Source organism: Homo sapiens, chromosome 2 (genome assembly GCF_000001405.40).
Source record: "Homo sapiens chromosome 2, GRCh38.p14 Primary Assembly".
Classification (NCBI taxonomy): Eukaryota; Metazoa; Chordata; class Mammalia; order Primates; family Hominidae; genus Homo; species Homo sapiens.
Window position 1 is genome coordinate 232008819 of NC_000002.12, and position 18269 is coordinate 232027087.

The 18269-nt window shown below is 41.0% G+C and overlaps 1 protein-coding gene across 5 annotated transcripts in view; it reads left to right on the top strand.

Annotated features, from left to right (window-relative positions):
* DIS3L2 (DIS3 like 3'-5' exoribonuclease 2) overlaps nt 1-18269 on the top strand; it is a 382638-nt gene that overhangs the window by 47106 nt on the left and 317263 nt on the right. For all 5 annotated transcript variants that reach the window (NR_046477.2, NR_046476.2, NM_001257281.2 and 2 more), the window contains exons 2-4: nt 6017-6161; nt 6696-6853; nt 15459-15512. Coding sequence is in view for 3 of the 5 variants with exons in the window: in NM_001257281.2 (NP_001244210.1) it covers nt 6110-6161; nt 6696-6853; nt 15459-15512 (264 nt within the window). In the remaining 2 variants the exon portion in view is untranslated. The remainder of the gene's footprint in view (nt 1-6016; nt 6162-6695; nt 6854-15458; nt 15513-18269) is intronic.

Here is an 18269-nt window from a genome sequence, read left to right on the forward strand (position 1 = left end):
AAGTCAGTGGTCAGACATCAAAAATTTAAAAAATGGAGTGAGACTCCTTATTACAATTCTTGACTTTGGAATTAAAAGAAAATTTCCTTGTTCTTTCTTTTCTTCAGATTGTATAACGTTAATTCATCTACCTTCAAATTTATTGGTTATTTCTTCTGCCAGCTTAATTCTCCTCTTGAGCTTCTCTAGTGAATTTTTCATTTCAGTTGTTGTCTTTCCACTTGAAATTTCCATTTGGCTCTTTTTTATAATTTCTCTTTGTTAATATTCTGTTTGCTGAGTCATTGTCATCATAGTTTCCTTTATTTTAAAAGTGTTTTCTTCTAGTTCTTTGAACATATTTATAATAGCTGCTTTGAAGTCCTATTGTCTAACTTCAAAATCTAGGCTCCCCTAGAGATAGCTTTTATTGAAACTTGTCCCCTTCCATGTATGGGTCACGCTTTTCTGATTCTTTGCATATCTTATGAAAACTGGATATTTCTGATAATATATTCTGTATTCTGATTTCCTTCTCCCCAGAGTTAGAGGTGGTTGCTCTTTTTGTTTGTTTAGTGACTTGGCTGGACTAATTAATTCCATGGAGTCTGTTTCTCCATGGAGTGTGTGTGTGTGACTGCTGATGTCTCTGCTTAGCTCATCCTTTCTTGTTTTTATTTTTCAGTATGGCTGTCAAGTATTTGCCTCCTGGGTCAGCGTATCTTAGTGGTCAGCCTATGATTGGTCAGAGGTTGTGTTTAAATTCCTTGAAACAACGAGCTTCCCTTTGTCATTGGTTTTTGTGAGGCTTGGAGAATGCATTCAAAGTTCAGAAAGTCTGCCTGGGTTTTACTTTCTCCATTTGCAAGGCCTCATCTTTTTCCAGGAATGAGCAGCTTGCTGTGGCCCTAACATTTCTTTCCTTCATGTTTGCAGTCTTGTGCATGTGGACAGTCTTCCAGACCAGCAGGAAAAAATAGATTTTTATCAAGGCCCAGTCTGGCTGTCTCATTCCTTAGTCTCCACGTTGGTCTGCTGATCTGTTGCTTGCGCTGACTGGCATTGCAAACTCAAGTTAGCTGTAATATTGGCTTTCCCTCCTTTTTTGCCCTTGAAATCACTTTTTGACAACACCTATGGGCATGGAATTCTTCTCCAAATTAATTTAGCTCCCTCTGGCAGTGGAGCTTCCTGTCATCACAGCTTGTCCTACCCTGGTAGCTTCTGTACCAAGGAATTGGGAGCGAGTGTGGGATGATAGGAGCCCCAGGCTAAAACACCACACTCTTCACTGTTCTTACCAAGATTCAGTAGATTTTCTTGGACCAGCACTTCTCAAATTTGTTGTAATGTTTTTGATCAATATCAAGATCTTTAAATAGTTTTAGCAATGTCAGTTTTATTGTTGCTTTAGGGGTTAATATTTGTCAAACTCCTCATTCAACCGTCTGGATATCCTTTCCCCTGCCCCCTCCCTTTCTCTCTATCTTTCATCTCTGTGTGTCTCCCTGTCTCTGTCTCTCATTTTTGAACATTTAAATTTTATTCAAACTGAAATTTATTTTGGAATATGTTATGAAGTAGGGATGTATTGGTTATTTTTTTAAAATGGTATTAAGTAGTGTCTTAATACTACTTGTTGATTAATCCATGTACTTCTTACTGATTTGTAATATAAATGGTTTATTTTTCTAATCTCATTGAGATTTATTTTAATTTTGCCCTCTTTTTTTTTCTTAATCAATAGTCATCTTTTGCTTGTTTTTCCCATCTTTTGCTTTCCATTGGCTCATCTTTTTCTCTCTCTAAACCTGTCTTTGGACTTTATCTCTTTGAGTTTCCTTCGCTATTCGGCTTCATACATTCCATTTGCTCTGATACTCGTAAGTACTAAGGCTAGGCTAAGACAAGTGAGATGCATAAGGCACAAAAATTCTAGGAAGCTCTCACTCCTGGGTCCTGCAAGTGTGGGATTAGTACTCATAGAACTTTGCGTTTTCAAATTTTGCACCCTAAGTGCCTGGCTTGCCCCATTGTAGTCCTGGCCCTGCCACTCATGCTTCTCACTAGTATATATTTGTTGTAACCTGACTTCTGTCCCAAATAGGCTTCATTTATTCCAATTTTTGAGCCTTTGCTATGTACTCTGCATTGTGCTAGGTTTTGGGGAATACAGAGGTTCTCAAGACACCGTTTATTTCACCCAGAAGCCTTCTTCAGATTTGCCCTTAGTGAGGTCTAGTGCCTTTTCCCCATTCCTCATCCTTCCTGCCTTCTTGTACCATGTGACATTATTGACCGCTATTGCCTGTTCATCCTAATGTCAGCCCAGCTCTTAAGAATGTATAACTATTTCCATGGTAGGACACCTTTTCTAGGGACCAGTGGGCTGTTGGGCAGTGTATCAGTGGCCCTCATTCTGGAAGTTAGTAAGGATTGGAAACTGGCCCGTGCTTTCAATGTGTCAGGGTAGGAGTGCCCAGGGACTTGTTCAGGCTTAATGGGCCTTTATAACTATGTCACAGGGAATAGAAGATTTCTTGTTTGTTCATTTTCTTTCTTTTTTTTTTTTTGAGAAGGAGTTTTGTTCTTGTTGCCCAGGCTGGAGAGCAATGGCACAATCTCAGCTCACTGCAACCTCTGCCTCCCAGGTTCAAGCAGTTCTCCACCTTAGCCTCCTAAGTAGCTGGGAGTACAGGCGTGCACCACCACGCACACTAATTTTGTGTTTTTTTAGTAGAGACAGGGTTTCTCTATGTTGGTCAGGCTGGTCTCGAACTCCCGAACACAGGTGGTCTGCCCGCCTTGGCCTCCCAAAGTGCTGGGATTACAGGCGTGAGCCACTGTGCCTGCCTGTTTGTTCATTTTTCTTTTTTGAGACAGAGTCTCACTCTGTTGCCCAGGCTGGAGTGCACAGTCTCGGCTCACTGCTACCTCTGCCTCCTGGGTTCAAGCAATTCTTGTGCCTCAGCCTCCTGAGTAGTTGGGATTACAGGCGCATGCCACCTTGCCCAGCTAATTTTTTGTATTTCTAGTAGACACCGGGTTTCGCCATGTTGCCCAGTCTGGTCTTGAACTCCTGAGCTCAGGCAGTCTGCCCGCCTTGGCCTCCCAAAGTGTTAGGACTACAGGCGTGAGCCACGATGCCCAGCCATTGTTTGTTCATTTTCTACTTAGCATTTTATATACTCAGAATCTTTCCATCTCCTTCTAGTGCTTTGGTACCCAAATGTGGCCTTTACTGCCTGCCTAGCTGTCCAGCTTATTCTTGCCAATTTTGTTTTCTCAGTCCTGCGTTCTTCCCCCATTCTTTGCTGACTTGTTTTTAAAGTAGTTTCCTGGTATGACCCTGCTCTGCTTAGTGTTCTCATTGCTTGTTCATGAAAACAAACTCATCCATTCATTTATGGAGCAGCTTTTGAGCACCTATTCTATCCTAGGTGCTGTGGGAGCTGCCAGAGTTACAATGACAAACCCAATCAAACATTCCTTGTCTCCCTGAGCTAAAGAGACAAGTTAGGTGTTACTCACACAAACTGGGATAACTGCTGTGAAGGAAAGATACAGATGCAGCTGATCTAGGGACACTGGAATTGAAATCTGTCCCCTTGTCTCACTTACCTGGCAGTAACTCCCCTTCATTTTGAACTTCTGCCTGAATCAGGATTGACATGTAGTGCCCCATTTTCAATTCCAGCGCTTGTTTTTGGGTTGCTGGCAGTTTGCTCTCGACTCCTCGCCCCAACCAAGGCTGCCGCGTTTGTTTTCTTAGTCACTAGTGGTAGCATACCCTGATCATGGATCTGTCCTCACTTGGGAGCTCTTTTCTCTTTTTTTTCTTAATGCCTGCCTCTGTTGATTCTTTTCCTACATCTTCATTAGCTTCTTTGTTGTATTTTATACTTCTTTACATTTCCTAAAAGTTGCCCTAACCCAGATTTTGTCAGGGTAAGAGTGCCCAGGACTTCTACAGGGATAATAGGCCTTCACAATGATGTCACGGGGAAGGGAATGTTGCTTGTTCGTTCCTTGTCCTATGCCCTCCTCTGTATCTGCGTACCCTTTCTTGGCAATCTTATCCATTCTTGAACACTCCGTGTTACCATCTTTATGCAAATGACTGGCTAACTTCTCTCTCTCTTTTGCTCCTGTTTTCAAGTATTTGGTGGATTGCCCCATGTGGAGGCATATAATACTCCAAGTAGAATTCATCATCTTCTCTAACTTTACCAACTCCCAGTCTCCTACCTAGAAATCTCACACAACCACTCCCACCTTGCTCACTTCCAGACATGCCTCGTTGCTAGATGGTGCCACTTTGTCCTGTGTAATACCATGGTAAGGGCCTCTTCTTTTCAGTGTCCTGAACTCAAGTTCGGGTCTTCCTTTCCTTTCACCTGTCTGTCCTGATTTTCTCCTAAGATGCATCTGCTGCTAGTATCTGTCAAGTCCAGATGACTCTGAGTCCTGTACCAGGTTAATTTTTCCTGAAACAATTCTAATCTGTTGTTTTTCTCTTCTGCTCATTCATGCTTTGAAAACTCCCTAGTGCTTTTGAAAAACTGGCCTAGTTTTTTAGACCTTCCAACTTGTTTTAATTTCCTTGCCACTGCCTCCCTTCATATAGGCTGGACTCTATCCAAATGGAATTAATTTTGCGAGAACTCGCCTGTATTTTCTGTTTGCGCCTCTATTTTTATTTCCTTTTGCCAATAGTATGCTTTCCTCACACTCTTAGTTCTTTAAAATCTCTCCTAAAGTACTCTCAGGTTTCCTGACCTGGAGATACTCTTTCTCTCCTGTCATCTGTACATTTATCCACATTTTAAAAAAACATAGTGCTTACCACTTATCCTTCATTCTGTCTAGTGTAGTGCCCTGAAGAAATATGTGTGAAATTAACGAGTGGATAAAAGCATTTCTGTATTAAGCCCTCAGACAGTCTTGACTCCTCCATCTGCCTTTCCCATTCCCTTGCTGTTTATATAAGGCCATCTCTTTCTCTCCCTTCTTTCAACTGGATTGGCTTTATCTGTGAATCTCTTTATCTTTCCCTAAGTGGCCTATTATCCTTTGTCTCCATTGCTTTTCTTCTGCTGAGTTAGTATTAATTTCAATTTAAAGAGAAATTACATCATTTTGGTGAAGGACGTGTGTGGGAAATATAGAGGAAATGGAAGCTAGTGTTCAGAATGACATCTTGATTCATTTTGTGGGAACTCAGGCTGCCCACAAAAATTTCAAATATAGACTTGACTCCTGGGCTGGTGGCCAGCAGAGACTAGAAAGTAGAAGTTGTGATGACATGTTCAGCATCCAGGTGGAAGGCCAGGGGCCAGCTGCAGGGCCCCACATTCCAGCCTGCTGATCCTGGCAGCTGCTCTTATATTCCTTAGATACAGCTGTTTGAGCTTCTGATGAGACAGCTGGTTTGAGGTGATGGCAGGTAAGAGTAGGGGAAGAGACGTCTAATTACAGTATTGCTGTGTTTTGAAAGCATGTGAATCATCTGGGGCTCCCTGCATAGTTTGGGACGTCAAGTTGTGACAATGAATTAGGTTTTGTTGGTGGATTCTAAGGAATTGACTTACTTGGTTTCATAGAGGTATATCATTTGTCCGGAGTTGGACTTAGTAAATGCCACATATTGAGCCCCAGTTTAGTACCTATTCCATTACAGCTTTTAGATTCTAGATCTTTATTATCACTTTTCAAAACTATATTTCTTTATATTTTTGTGCATTTCACAAGCTGAATAGAACCGCAGGATTCCTTATTTTTCACATCATTGCCCCATTTGTGGAGATGTTTAGTTGAAGTGGCCCAAAGAAGCAGTCTAGTGGTACCTGTGAGGGTGAAGGCCTTGAAAAGAAACTTGAGACAGATGGTGTGCTTGACTAACTGCCCCAGAGAATGTGATGCCAGAACCCAGGAGGGGCACCATGTTGCCTTTGCCATTGAACTACTAAATTTCTGAGAGGACAGAGGAGGCTACAGCTTAACCGCTCTCCAATTACCAATCTCTTCTTGGTTTCAGCGAATGACAACAGAGCTGCTCAAGGCGGGAACTCTGAGCTAAGCAGTGGAGGTTTCTCTGGATCTGGAGAGAAGAGTGACCTTGGAGCCAATAATGAGCCATCCTGACTACAGAATGAACCTCCGGCCCCTGGGGACCCCCAGAGGTAGTAAAAGGAAAATGGAGTCTGCCTGAATAACTGGAGAACTGAAATGAAAGTGGAATGGGTGTGAAGTGGAGGCTGTCTTTTAGGACTGAGGGCTACTATAATTCTTTTAGTGACCTGTTAAGTATTCTGTGTGATTTATTCTAGAATTAGATGTGGTTTCTTGCTGTCTTAATTTATTGTTGTATTAAGTACAGCTGTTTAATTTCCTCTAGAAAAGTGGCAATCTTTTAGTAATTTCTATTTTCAAAAAGTCTGTGTGTCTATAAATAGCAAAGAATACTGAACTCATTATTCAGATTATGTTCCATGCGTGTTGTTGTGCTGATTTAAAACTCAAGTCTCATCTGTGTATATTTTATTCATGTTTTCTTAGCCACTCTTTCCTTTTTGTTATTGTTAAAAATCACCATCAGGGAGTTTCAGTCTCTTGTTGGTCTCTTTAAATAATAATTGTAAAAAGGTATAATATCTCCAGTTTTAAAAATACACAGATGTTTGAGGAAAGAGTTGATTGCTGCCTCCTGTTTCTAGGTGTGTCTGCTGTGGCTGGTCCACATGACATTGGTGCTTCGCCAGGTGACAAAAAGTCAAAGAACAGGTCCACACGAGGGAAGAAAAAGAGCATATTTGAAACTTACATGTCCAAGGAGGATGTTTCAGAAGGCTTGAAGAGAGGAACACTCATCCAGGTGCTTAAAATCTACTGGAAGGCTATTCTCTGAATATGTAGAATCCAAAACAATCTATTAAACTGTTTCCTGTTCTGTGCTATATGCTTTCAGAGAGACGATGATGTAACAGGTGCAGGGCTGTTATGATGGCATAACAGAGATGATGAGGTAACAGATTCTTCTTAGAACTACAGTACATTTAGAGGTAATAAGCACCACAAGACAGGAACAGGAAAAGTGCTCTGAGATTTGAGAGGAGGGAACCACTATTTCCCATTAGGATTGTCTAGAGATGCTTTATTGGAAGTGACATGTTTGAGCCAGGCCATGGATTGGTGCAGTTTGAGTAAGTGAAGATAAGAGAGAGCTTTACAAATGTAGGGACCAGTGTGAGCTACTACAATAGAAGTGAGAAATTGGGTTTGGATATATGAAACATTGAATAGTTCAGTTTTTCTGGAGCATGTGGATGCTGAACGACGGAGAAAAATGGATGAGGTTGGAAAGGAAGCAGTAAACAACAATAGACAGTATTTGTTGAGTGCTTTATACTTTACAAACTATGTTTACAAGCTAGTTCAGTGGTTTGGCTGAACAAATGTTTATGGAGCATCCATTGTGAGCCAGGAACAGTTATGGTTAGAATAAGTGTGCAGCATGGGTGCCTTTGACATGGAGGTAGACAAGATTGCCTTGCTGTACTTCAGCTTGCAGCCCAGTGGTGGGAGGCAGTCATGTGAACAGATGATTTGGGGATAAAATGGCAAGTGCTCAGATAAAAGGGTGACCAGGGTATATGGCAAAATATTGGGGGGAAATGGGGAAACTGTGTAGGCTGAGGTTCTGGAGAGGCTTCCTGGAGTTGGTGACCCTCGTGGTAGGTATTGAGGGTCTAGTTTGGGCCTATCAGATGAGTGATATGTGTGTGGGAGGTATGGAGAGGCAGTGGCGCTAACGAAAACATGAACTTGTGAAACAACATGGAGTATGGCAGCTTAGGCCTCCTTGGGCATAAACTATCAGGCAGGTAGTAGGCTGGGGAGGGAGGCAGGGCCACATATTCTGTGAATTAAGTCTATTTCATAATACTTTCATTAGTATAGAAATATTGCCATGTGCTACCTGGCTCACTTGAAAATGCTGTGTTCCATTTTCTCTTATTCTGAGAGCCCAGCTTCTGTATTTGTGTTTTTGGCTGAAGATCTAACCAATTTACAGATGCTGTCATCTTCTCTTCCTTTTTGTCCCCTCCCTCCCTCCCTCCCTCTCTCCCTCCCTCCCTCCCTCCCTTCCTTCCTTCCTTCACCTTTCTTTACCTTTCTGTATTTATCTGTGGTCAAGTGCACACGTGCACAAGAAAGAAGAAAGAAAACTATCTTTTAAAAAATGAGTTGGTTTTTCTGATTCTTGGAGTACTCTTGGTGGTTTTAATTTATTATTTATTTATTTATTTTTTGAGAAAGTCTCACTCTGTTGCCCAGGCTGGAGTGCAGTACAATCTTGGCTCACTGCAGCCTCTGCCTCCTGGATTCAAGCGATTCTTGTGCCTCAGCCTCCCAAGTAGCTAGGATTACAGAAGGTAAAAATTAGTCATGCCATCATGCCTGGCTAATTTTTGTATTTTTAGTAGAGATGGGGTTTCACCATGTTGGCCAGGCTGGTCTTCAACTCCTGACCTCAAGTGATCCTCCTGCCTTAGCCTCCCAAAGTGCTGGGATTACAGGCATGAGCCACCACACCCAGCCCTATTGGTGTTTCTTTTTTTTAAAGCTTTCCCTGGATTTATTTGACAAGGCCTCTCTTAGGAGAGATGAAGCTGCATTTGGATGTTAGTCCATTCATTAATCCATTCATTTGCTCTTCATTGTTCAGCCCATATCCCAAACACCATTTTATCTGTAAGTTTCTTGGCCCTTCTCTTGTTTCACATAGGAGGACCCATTGTGCCTTTCCATTCTTATCCTCCTGCACTCTCCTCCAGGAACACTCTCCTCCATTCACCCTGAGCCTTCCAGTCTTTTCCTCTAAAAACTGTTCTTCTTGATGTCTCTGTGACTTTGTGCATGCTGTTCCTGGTGCTTGGAATGCTTTCTCCTGCTGCCTTGATGTAATGGTGCTTACCTTTTAAGTCCGTGCCTAAATGTTACCCACTTTGAGAAGCCTCATTTTAATTCTCCAAGTAGAGTTGGCTGTTAGTGTTTTCCTGTAGTTGACTTCTTTGTTTTCCCTTTATTCTAAACTTAACACCATTTCTTGGCTTTTATGTTTCCCCCAGATAGACTGTTCATGTCCTTGATGGCAGGGTCATGTCTTGTTCCAGAAGTTAGCTCAGTGCCTGGCATTTGACTGTTGCTTAATACATTTATATTGAATAAATACTTACTTACTGACTGAATAAAGGATCCAGATACTGTCTTTTGAAGAAGAGTTGGGGGAACTTCAGTTGTTAGAACTTGAAAGAAAACTAGCCTAGAATTTTGGTTATAGAATTATACCTGTCTAGAGATAAGGAGAGGACAGCGAAGGAGAGGACAGCGTTCTGCAGTGATATTAGCTTCAGCTCCCTTTTAGTTTTTGCTTTTGAAGCAACTCGTTGCTGATACTCAAACAAAACAAAACAAAAATCTGATCAATATAACAACTCTAATTCCCAGGAGTTTGTAAGTGATTCCTTCTGGCCTGTGACATCATGGGACTCTGCAGCCAGGGCCTCCCCCCTACATATGAGAACAGTTGTTCTTTGCAGATGGGAAAAGGAATGGGTTCCAGATATGAGGTCACCGTGTGAAATATACAACACTGTAAATAAGATTTTCATAGGCAGAGAAACAGAGTCCATCTGCTGCTTGATATAAACTTTATGTGTGCAAGCCTTGCGGGGTAAGGTAAAAGGCCAGACAAGAAAGGATGTTTTAATGCTGATGGAGAAAATTAAGTGTATTAGAGATACTTAGAAACTTTTGTTAACTTTAGTATTCAAACTCATCTCTTTTGACCTCTTTTTTTTCTCCCTATCCAGAGAAGAAACTTTTATCGAGAGATTGAAGGGGGATTTAAAAAAAAACAGGAGTAGAGTATTTTTATTTTGTTTTCAATACCTTAACTAATACTTCGACATTTCATTAGTATTTTTTCCTATGTGGGGAGGAGACCACAGTTTCCTCTTTCCAGTGTTTGAAATGGCAATAACAGTAACACATGGTCATGTACATGTAGTTTTGAAGTTTAAAAAAAAATAATAAATTCTCACATCAAAAAATGTATTTCATTTCTCTCTTCATAGGTAGAGTACTGAGAGGTTGTTATAGGAGATGTTGGGAGAGATTAGAGTAGGGGATAGACAAGCCTGGAAGGGGCTCCAGTTTAGGGTGATGATCAAGGTGACATGGGTATGAACATGGCAGAATTGGCTGTTTCAGATCCCAAAAGATGCTTTGGCTAAAGGAAGTTCAGGCTAAGCCTCCAGAGCTGTCTTAGTCATGATGTCGGAGTTCCTCTTAGAATAGAATATTGGTGTGAAGTTGTTATTGGCTCTCTGAAAAATCCTAGTCCAGGAAGATAGAGGTCAGGATGAACTAGTTTCTGGGACCTTCACCATTTGTTAAGAGTGAAATCAAGCAGGGTGTGGTGGCTCACGCCTGTAATCCCAGCACTTTAGAAGGCTAGGGTGGGAAGATTGCTTGAGGCCAGAAGTTTAAGACCAGCCTGGGCAACATAGTGAGACTTCATCTGTACAAAATAAAAATCAGCCAGGCATGGTGATGTGCACCTGTATTCCTAGCTACTGGGAAGGCTGAGGCAGGAGGATCGCTTGAGTCCTGGAGTTGGAGGCTATGGTAGGTAAGTCATGATCATGCCATTGTGCTCCAGCCTGGGCAACAGAGTGAGACCCTGTCTCTCTCTCTTTTTTTTTTTTTTTTAAAGAGTAAAATCAGCTGGAGAATACTTGGGGATGAATTAAAGATGAGGGGAATAGATGTGATGTTACAGTGGAATGCCCAGCCACTTAGAAGGGAGAGATGATATTCATAACATTAATACTGGGGGTGATGAGAGAACTTTAGCTCTGCAGGCATTAATTAATTAATTACTGCAACAAATGTTTCTTGACTTCTTACTCAGTGCCAAGCGTATACCAGTGAGCAAGTTAGGCAAGTCACTGGGGAGGTAAGGAAAAACAACTAAAGAAAAAGAGAAGAAATTATAGACTGATCATTGCTAATAAAGAAATGGGAAGGGTGAGAGAGAATAATTAGAGAGAGCCTCTTTAGTAGGGTCGTTAGGGAAAGCCTCTGTGAGATGATCTGTGGGTTATCTGAGATGAGAATGAATCAGCCAATTGAAGAATTAGGAGAAGAACATAGGTGGATAGCTCAGCTAGTAGAACAGCAGCAAGCAGAAGAAGGCTTGGTGTTTCTGAGAAATGAGAAGGAAGCCTGTTGGAACATTGTGAGCAAAGGGAGTTATATTATGGGACAAGTGGAGAGTTAGGCAGCAGCCAAGTCATGTAGGGTCTCTAGGCTATGCTGGAGAATTGGATTTTGTTCAAAGAGCAGCAGGAAGTCACTGAAGGCTCTTAAGCAGGGGAAGAAAATAATCTGTTTCATGCTTTGAACATACCTCTCTGGGAATTGTGAGATGAATAGAGTGGAAGCTGAGAGGCCACTCAGGAAGGTATCAAAGTAAACCAGGTCAGAAAACATGGAGATGGGAACAAGAAAGTGGCAGTAAAGATGGAGAGGAGTGGATGGATGGATGGATGTGGGGCTAGAACTGATGTGACATGGTGATGGATGAGATATGGAAGGTGAGGCAGAGGGAGGCATCCCTGATGCTTGCTGAGTTTTCGAATTGAGCAGCTGGCTGGATGATGTTGCCATTAACCAAGACAGAGAAAAGCAAGGGTTGGAATGTGGTGCTGAGTTTTTGGGCAAGAGGGATAGCTGGCATACATGAGTGAACAGGCCCTGGTGGTGACCGTGGCAAACAGAGAGAGAGGCTGTTCACAGTAGTTGAGAGCATGGAGTCTGGAGCCAGATTGTCTGGCCTTGAATGTGATGTGAAAGCGGGCAATTTTCTTAACCTCTCAGTGCCTCAGTTTCCTCATCTGTAAAAGCAAGGATAATAGTATCTACCTCATAGGGTTGTTGTGAGGGTTAAATTAGCTGATCGATATAAAGCTCTTCAAAGAGTGTGTGGCATGTCGTATGCCTGCATAAGTGGCACTTGAGTTTTGTTTTTATTACTATAAGAGGAGCGTCTGTTATTCAGGTTAGGTGGTTGCTGTCATTTGGAGAACCCTGTCCAAAGCTGTTAGATCTTATGATTTTTCAAGAATATCTGGAAATATGTATTTTATATGTGTGAAATTCCTCAGTTTTAAGGACTCTCAAACAAGCCAAATACAGTATGTTTGTGATTGCCAGTTAGACTGATTTAGCCCAGTTGTGTGGTGTTTTTCTATGGTACTGTTTAGCTCCTGGGGTATAGGAAGGGAGAAAGCAGATAGCTGGGGTTAGTTGAGAGTAGAGAATCAAGGGTAAAATCTTCAAGGTCTTTTGCTGGTTGAGTATCAGAGTAAGAGGTTTGTTCAGGATTTGCAACGTTAATAGATAATGATAGGCCATGGCAATTAGGTGGCTAGAGAAGGGAGTAAACAGTGGGAGGACAATGAATGGTGACAATGTGGTCACAGCTTTGGGCTGGAGATCTTAGTGAAATCGAAGAGTTGTTGAAGTGGGGTTTCTACCATAAGTAGACAGAAGATTGCCATCGGAAAGTGCGATATTTGAATTTTTTTTTTTTTTGAGGTAGTGTCATTAGTAGTGCTGACGGGATCCAGGCTGTGAACGTGGGAGAGAGTAGGTGGGTTAGGGGAGCAAATGGTAGTTAGAGTGACAGGCTAGGGTTGCTTGGTCTTCAACATGGATGTGAAGTCCCAAAAATATATATAGTAGTGAGGATAGAGAGGAAGGCAGTGAACTGCTAGTCAAAATGTTAGTGAATTGGAGCTTTGACCCACCTGTAAATTTGAGGATGACAGCACCAAAGAGGTGCTAATGATATGAACTTTAAAGGATCTGGGATTTTTGAAAGAGAATGGAGGAAAAAATACTTTTAAAGTCATGATGGGGAAGCAAAGAGACCTTCCTCCCTTGGTCCCTGAGATACATGGGTTATGAGAGATAAAATAGACTCCCTCTGAGAGCACTCGAGAGAAGCAATCACTTCAGGGAACAGCCAGGTTTCAATTAAGGCGAAGAATCAGGAGCATCTGGAGAAGAGATGGAGGCTATGGGATCCTCACTGATCAAGTTTCAGGCCTAGGGAAGTGCTTTAGGAAGAAGACAGGAGATGGGCAATTGGGTCAGGTTAGGGGATGGCTATAGAAATGAAAGCCTTGGACTTTTGTAGGTGAGTAAGACGAGATCTGTGGGAAGTATCCTTTAGTTAAATGACCATTTGTTTTTGACAGACTTAAATGCCAGCTGCTTCTCTCAGGCTATAGGAACAACTCTGGTCTGCTGCGGAGCTCTGTGGGAGTTTCTGCTTTCTTAGTGTGATCTGCATTCCCTCAAGGGCTCTGTTTCCGAGGTCCAGTTCTTCAGAGTTATGCTCCAGTCAAATTTGCAAATGCTGTTGTGGAACCAGGTTTCTATTCTTCCTTGTGTGCTTTTGTATATATTGGGAAGTTTGGGATAGAGAATCAAGGGTAAAATCTTCAAGGTCTTCTTAACATCTTTTCTTTTAAATAGAGCCTGGATGCAGCCCTGAGCAACCTGTCTCTTTTCCCTGGGCCCAGCCTGGCCTGTCTGAGTGCCCTGCAATTAAAGGCATTTTCAAAGCTAGAGGCATTCTGATCTCTGTACTTGTTCATATGCTAACCATTCTTTGAGCGACAAGGGATGATAGAAGAATAGGAATTGAAAAAAAAACTTAGGCCAGAGAAAAGCATCTGGAATCAGAAAATGAAATTGTTAGACATTTAATTTCAATGAATTGACTTTTGTTTGTTTGGAGTCTCTTCCCCTCACGAGACTGTAAGCTCTGTGATGGTAGAGACTGTCTGTTGTTAGTCTCCCTTGTACCCCGTCATTTGACATGGTGCCTGCCATGCTATTCGTTAGGAAATATTTGTTGAGTGAGTGGATGAATATTTAGGTTAAATGTAAGTTTTTTCCCTCCTTCCCTCAACAAGAAACAGCTGTCTAGAAGTGGATTTACTGTGACACTCTTTAACAAGGGACTGGCCTTGGGGAGCTTTGCCAACCTTATCTCCTGGTCCCTCCCTCTTCTGTGCTAGGCAGAGTTATCGCACAATGGAGAAGAGTTAGTGAGTGCCCTCTTAACCACTTTTGCTAACACAGTGTCCTCTACTATACTTCTCATCTGATTTATTTGCAAATTTTGCTCTTCTGTAAAGGACTAGGTCAGATACCATCTCTGAAGCCTCTTCTGGTGCCCTCGCTGTGAAAGTAAGCTGTACCTCTGCTTTATGTTTTCCTTTAAAATAGGGATTGAGCTTAGTTAATCATTATCTTCTCCATCAGTGTGTCTCAGGGTCTTGAATATAGTCCATACTCAATAATTAATTGTTGAATTAAGGACTGAATGATCATTTGTAGTAGTCTATTTGAGTGTTCATGATATTGTAAACTGTGGCATGGACATTTGTAATTTAAACATGGTACAGTGCAGAAGGAAATTATTTTCTGCTTTATTTTATGCCGTTGCCTGTTTTGTTAATTATGTATCTTTGAGTCTTTAAACGTTTTAGGGAGAAATGTTATTTAAAACACTTTCTCAAGATATCCTTTGAGTCTGGCTGTTAGAAAAATAACTGCTTCCATCCATGTGTTCCAGTGGCCTGAGACTACAGCTGGAACCTGGGGAGCCTTACAGCTTCCTGCAAGAGCCTGAAATACTGAACTGCTATTGAAGAGGCCCCCACCTGCACCCCTGTGTGTAAATAGAAGCAGACCCTGATTTGGTGCTGGAATAACATGAAGTTGAAGGCAGACTGGGTGGCCTGGCTGTTGGAGCCAGGATTCCAGTTTGCATTAAGAGCTGGTTATGGACCATTTTGAATTATTGACTCATTCAGCTCTGCAGAGGGGCCAGAGTAAAAAATAATGCATCCAGTTTCATAAGGCTCAGTATCTAGCTTGGAAATCAACCTGTACCACTTTGAAAATTGTCACAGAAACAAGCAATTGTGGAAAGGTCTTGGAACTGGGAGAAAAAAAAGGCCTTTATATAGTGAGGCACAATCCCTAGGTAATCTTGTTTGTAAAGTCAAGGTTTAAATTTGAAGACTAGCATATAGGGGCATCTAAAATCCTAATAGTTGCCACTTTCCCACTCTACGCCAAGCTCTGTTGTTCCTTACCTTTGCTTGTTCACACCAAGGTGCCAGTCTAAGCTTTCTGTTTTTGATAGAACCCTCTATTTCAGATATCAACATAAATTGTGTTTCCTGCATTTAATGAATATTTCTTATACATCTAACTTGTTTTCTCAAGTGACCTGTTTAATTTTAAAACTTTTTATTGGAGAATAACATACGTGGAAAAATCGTAAATATATAGCTAGATTTTCACAAACTTTATTTTTTGTTTTAAAGGGTGTATTGAGAATTAATCCAAAGAAGTTTCATGAAGCCTTCATTCCTTCCCCGGTAAGTTCAATAAATTTATAATAAACTTTATGTCACATTTAATTTTTTAGATCTGCTCCGAAACTGAAATCATATATTCTAACTAAAAAGCAGAGTAGTGAAACAAAATTGACGATGGGCAAAGATTTGTTTCAAATTTAAATAAACTAAATTTTCTTTTGGTTAACAACCCCTTCTGTCAGTCTTAAAATCGCATGCCAAATGAAAGGGATGGCATTTGTTACAAGGCTGCAAAGAGCAGCTGGACCCAGGCAGACTACCCACCAGTTCGTGTAACTGGACGCCCTTGGTTTATGGCTTAAAAGGATTTATGGTTTTTTCCACCGATTTAAGTTAATCTTTCCTAAACAAATATGCTATCTACTTTGGATCTACTGCATGAGCTAATCTGAACATTTGTCCAAAAATAACGTGTAATGCTTTTTTTTTTTGGTGGGGGTCAGAGTTTCTCACTTCACTTTCGTGCAGGTGATAAAACTTTGTACAAGGCTCTTTACCGTTGGGTCTTTAGACCCTTTCTTACATTTATGACTCATTTTAAGAGGCTCTTTCCACTTAAATCAAGTTTACACTGATATATAGTTAGCAGCAGTTCTCTAGAGAAGGTTTGATTGAGCAAAGCTGGGAGAGCAATATTCTTAAATTCCTGACCTAACTTTTCCAGGATACCATAAATAGAATAGCTATAGAATCACAGATTTTTCACAGTGAAAGAGACCAAACTTATGCTTATAGATGACGAAATGGGATACATATATTTTAGTTAACATATTTTATTATTTTAAATGACAGTAAGTTTAGTGAGAATATAGGTTCAGTCATGTACTTTATAAATGTCATTATTACAGATTGAGCACCCCTTATTTGAAACACTTGGGACCAGAGGTATTTTGGATTTAGAATTTTTTTTTAAATATTGGAATATTTACATTACATACTTACACTGAAATCCAAAATGCTCCAGTGAGCATTTCCTTTGAATGTCATGTCAGTGCCCAAAGAGTTTTATATTTTGGAACATTTCAGATTTTATATGCTCAAGTGATATTATTGTTATTGTTACAATAACCTTATGACCTATTCTCAAGCTCAGTTTAGTCCTTTTCCCCTGCCTTCTGAAATCCAGGGACTCACATTGCATCCAAGTTCGAGTCTTACCCATTGAATTAGATAAAAGGTATCACTGACATTCACATTATTCTTTCTCAGTCATATTCTGTTCCTGTTAGAGAAAATGGCATATGTCTTGACCCTGAAACTTGAGTTGTAAAATTGGGTTGTAGAATTGAGGGTCAGTTTTGAGGTGGTAACTTGGCTGCACGAACAGTTCTCACATGTACGAGAAGTGCAGTTTACATATGTGTTAGTTTCCAGAATTTGCTCATAAGCTTAAATTTACATCCAGGAATCATAAAAACTACCCAGAAAATCTCTTAGGAAGGTGCTGTGTTGGAGACGGATAAACCATCTCTCAGTACGTCCTGCATAACCAATGTTTTTTTCCCATAAGAAAGCATGACTGTTTCTTCAAGAATATACCAGTTGAAGGAACTTGATTGTATTAGGAGCCCTCATGTATGAAAGACACAGATTTTTAAGCATGAAAATGTCACTCAATGTAGTAAGTTCATCCTGAGAGACAGCTGGGAACTGGGTATATTCAGACCTCTTGTCTCTTGTGCATGCTTAAGTTTGCTCTTATTGATTGGTGTGATAAGGGGAACTACAGCATTTTGAAAATTTTGCTGCTTCCTCTCTTCCCTGATAACACAGTATAGAATTTCCCTAAGTTAAATCCCTATTGGGTTGGCTCCTAGCAAGTGTGGGACCTAGGACAGAAGTAGAAAAGAAGGCACACATACCTTAAATCAAATATTGAAAAGTTAGACATCAAAACCACCATCAAGTAAAATATATTATTCTATATATTCCATGTAGGAATAGACAAAGTCTATTCCTTGCCAAATACACCTTCATATACCTGAGTTCAAATGTAGAATTCTCAGATTTCTTGCAGCTCCATGCTGAAACATGGCTTCACCTCTGGCTTGCCCCTCTTCCCTTCTCAGTGCTAGCTCCCTGTCCCCTTGTGATTCCCTTGCATTCAGTGAGGGCCCTTTCATGCCCAAACGTGGGCATCCTATCCCATGTATCTAAGCTATGTCCATACCCATTAGAAATACCTGCCATTGAGTGGAGGCACCCCCATTGAGGGGGTGCCTCCGGTGGTGGGGAAGTGCCTGTATATGTCCTGGAGGTAGGCTTTGGGCTGCTTATTTTAGGGAAGCACATCCATTTGGCCCTGTGAACTCCTTGTCTGATGGGGAGGGTTGTGGCTGGAGCAGGGCCAGAGCAGAGGTCCTATGGTTCCTGCAAGCTAAATTCAAGTAATTTACATCTGCAAATGATGTATCTCCATGGTGTAACCTGGCTTGTTAAAGAAAGCTAAGACACAAAAGCAAAAGGTGGTGATGTTTTAAAAGCTCATAGTTGTTCTCTTACTTAAAATTGTATTCTTACTACGTCATACTTAGAAATTTTTAGACAGTTGCGATATTAGGATTGGCTTATTTCTATGCCTCTTTTATTCTTTTATTTGGCTCCTGCTTGAGTCGTAATATTGTCTCAGAGAAAAACAATTCACCTCTAGGTAATTAAGAATAGATCATAAGAGCTACCAATCAAGGCCCATTGCAAGTGATTGTATACACTCTGGTTTTGGACACGGGAACAGTCCTACATTCTTGCTTTGTGGGT